The 2,160-nt window shown below is 48.2% G+C and overlaps 1 long non-coding RNA gene across 8 annotated transcripts, besides 1 other annotated feature; it reads right to left on the bottom strand.

The window, feature by feature from the left end:
• Positions 1–270: 270 nt before the first annotated feature.
• Positions 271–1,357, bottom strand: LINC02434 (long intergenic non-protein coding RNA 2434). Of its 8 annotated transcripts, none has more exons than NR_187420.1 (3): positions 1,291–1,357; positions 1,078–1,194; positions 271–909 (listed from the first exon to the last, which is right to left on the bottom strand). It is a non-coding gene; the product is annotated as a long intergenic non-protein coding RNA 2434 (long non-coding RNA). The 8 variants fall into 8 exon arrangements; NR_187422.1 differs by having other exon boundaries at positions 271–893; NR_187423.1 differs by having other exon boundaries at positions 1,308–1,357.
• Positions 961–2,160: an enhancer, noted in NCBI's record as "P300/CBP strongly-dependent group 1 enhancer chr4:189080404-189081603 (GRCh37/hg19 assembly coordinates)". NCBI's record gives its function as "activates an origin of replication core promoter dependent on BRD2, BRD4, P300/CBP, MED14 and CDK7 cofactors, with strong dependence on P300/CBP, by STARR-seq in HCT116 cells {active_cell/tissue: HCT116}" and the evidence as "EXISTENCE:reporter gene assay evidence [ECO:0000049][PMID:35650434]".

Genomic DNA, 2,160 nt, shown 5'->3' with positions numbered 1-2,160 from the left:
GCCCAAGAGTGCCTAACGGCTAGGATATCTCAGTCCAACTCCAGCCAGGCTAGTTTGCAGAGCCAATTTAGCTCCAGGGCGCCCTGTGTGTGGCTGAGGCAGCCTGTAGCTGTCCCTGCATGGCAGCTAGACTTATCCCTCTGCCAAATCCTGCTTCCTTCCCCACCTTTAAACAGGTCTTGGTCTTGAGGTCATCTTCTTAAAAAAAAAAAAATATATATATATATATATATATATGCGCATGGGACACCTGCTATAAAAGGCAGCCACTTTTTTGAAAATTTTTACTGAAGTACAATTTACATACAGAAATTGAACATATAAATTTCCAGCTCAATGCACTTTCCCAAATGAAAAACAGGATGTAACCAGCGCCAGATAAGAACAGAACATTTCCAGTCCCACAAGAGACAACACATTTAACAATTACTCTTTAAAATGCCTAATAGCATTTTAAATGAGTCTAACAGTTCTTTAAATCTATGCCAAAGAAGAAAGAAGGGAGAAAAGTTACATTATTAGCTTCAGTGCCCAGGGTTCAAACAACAATAAAAGATTTAGGCTTTAAAAACAAAACTTATAATTAATTCTAAATAGTATAGTATTGTTTTCAATATTTATGTTGCTTAAAACTGGCTTTTGAATGATGTCCGTTAATAGGAAAAGGCTAGTTATAAAAGAACTAGGATGTGTGTAAAAGCAGCATGGACTCTCCGATTCGTCTCAGGAGGGTCTCCTGGCTGCCTCTGCAGTGAGATCGCATCACCAAGCAGCAATCTGGTCCCTCCTGTCTTCAGCCTGGGGCTATTTTTTCCCCTGGCTCCAGAAGCAGAGAGGCCAAGAAACCTCGAGCTTTTCTTCTCAAACAGGTTTACAGAACCAGTGTTTCCTTTCTGAGAAGCGAGACAACTGGGAGACAGGGAGGGTTGGGGGAAAGGAGAGTGACAATTGGAAGGAGAGGGGCACAATTTGGAGGGACAAAACGGGGAGCTGAGAAAAACAGCCTCCGAAAGCAGCCGGACCCTGCAAGGACCCTCCCACACCGCACCTCACTCCTCTCACACACACACCCCTCACCTAGAGGAGAGTCACCTCTCCAGAGCACCTGGGCCTTCATTCCCATCTGCAAGAGGGCAGGGCTCCCAGATACTCTGTGATGACGCGTGGGCCCCACCAAAATAGAACCGAACAGAACTGGTGGAGAAAGAATTTGTTTGAAATTTGTGGATCCACCATCACTGTGAAAAACACACCCCAGAAAGCAAATCACCACTCTAGACACTGACTTACAATGCAGAGGAGTTTACCATTTAGACCGGAAGGAGGTGAACGCGTGAGTCGATGCGGAGTTCACTGTTCAGACCGGAAGGAGGTGAACCCGTGAGTCCATGCGGAGGAGTTCACTGTTCAGACCGGAAGGAGGTGAACCCGTGAGTCGATGCGGAGGAGTTCACTGTTCAGACCGGAAGGAGGTGAACCCGTGAGTCCATGCGGAGGAGTTCACTGTTCAGACCGGAAGGAGGTGAACCCGTGAGTCGATGCGGAGGCGTTCACTGTTCAGACCGGAAGGAGGTGAACCCGTGAGTCCATGCGGAGGAGTTCACTGTTCAGACCGGAAGGAGGTGAACCCGTGAGTCGATGCGGAGGCGTTCACTGTTTAGACCGGAAGGAGGTGAACTCGTGAGTCCATGCGGAGGCGTTCACTGTTTAGACCGGAAGGGGTGAATGGGTGAGTTGATGCGGAGGAGTTCACTGTTCAGACCGGAAGGAGGTGAACCCGTGAGTCCATGTGGAGGCGTTTACTATTTCAACAGGAAGCGGATGATGAATCCCTGAGTCAAATGAAAGACAATGTTTGAAACTCTCAGGAATGTTTAGGAAGGCGTCATAAGAGATGAAGAGTGAGGGAATCAGAAACTCAGAAGGACCAGATTTGGGGCAGTATGCTTCGAGGCTGTTTTGTCCAGCCAACCCAACGCTGGAATCACCCCAAAAGCAGCGGCGGGGGAATTCCCACAAGGGAGTACTCTGAACTGTTCCAGGATGGGGTCGATTGGGATTCCAAAGAAAGAAGCCCTCATCAGCAGGGTGCTCAGTTCAGAGCAGTTATGAGGGGAGCTTACAGAGGCCACAGCGATCCTTGGAGAGAAAGGGGTGCTC

The sequence above is a fragment of the Homo sapiens genome, chromosome 4 (assembly GCF_000001405.40).
Source record: "Homo sapiens chromosome 4, GRCh38.p14 Primary Assembly".
Lineage (NCBI taxonomy): Eukaryota > Metazoa > Chordata > Mammalia > Primates > Hominidae > Homo > Homo sapiens.
This window is presented reverse-complemented; position numbering and strand designations above follow the sequence as displayed.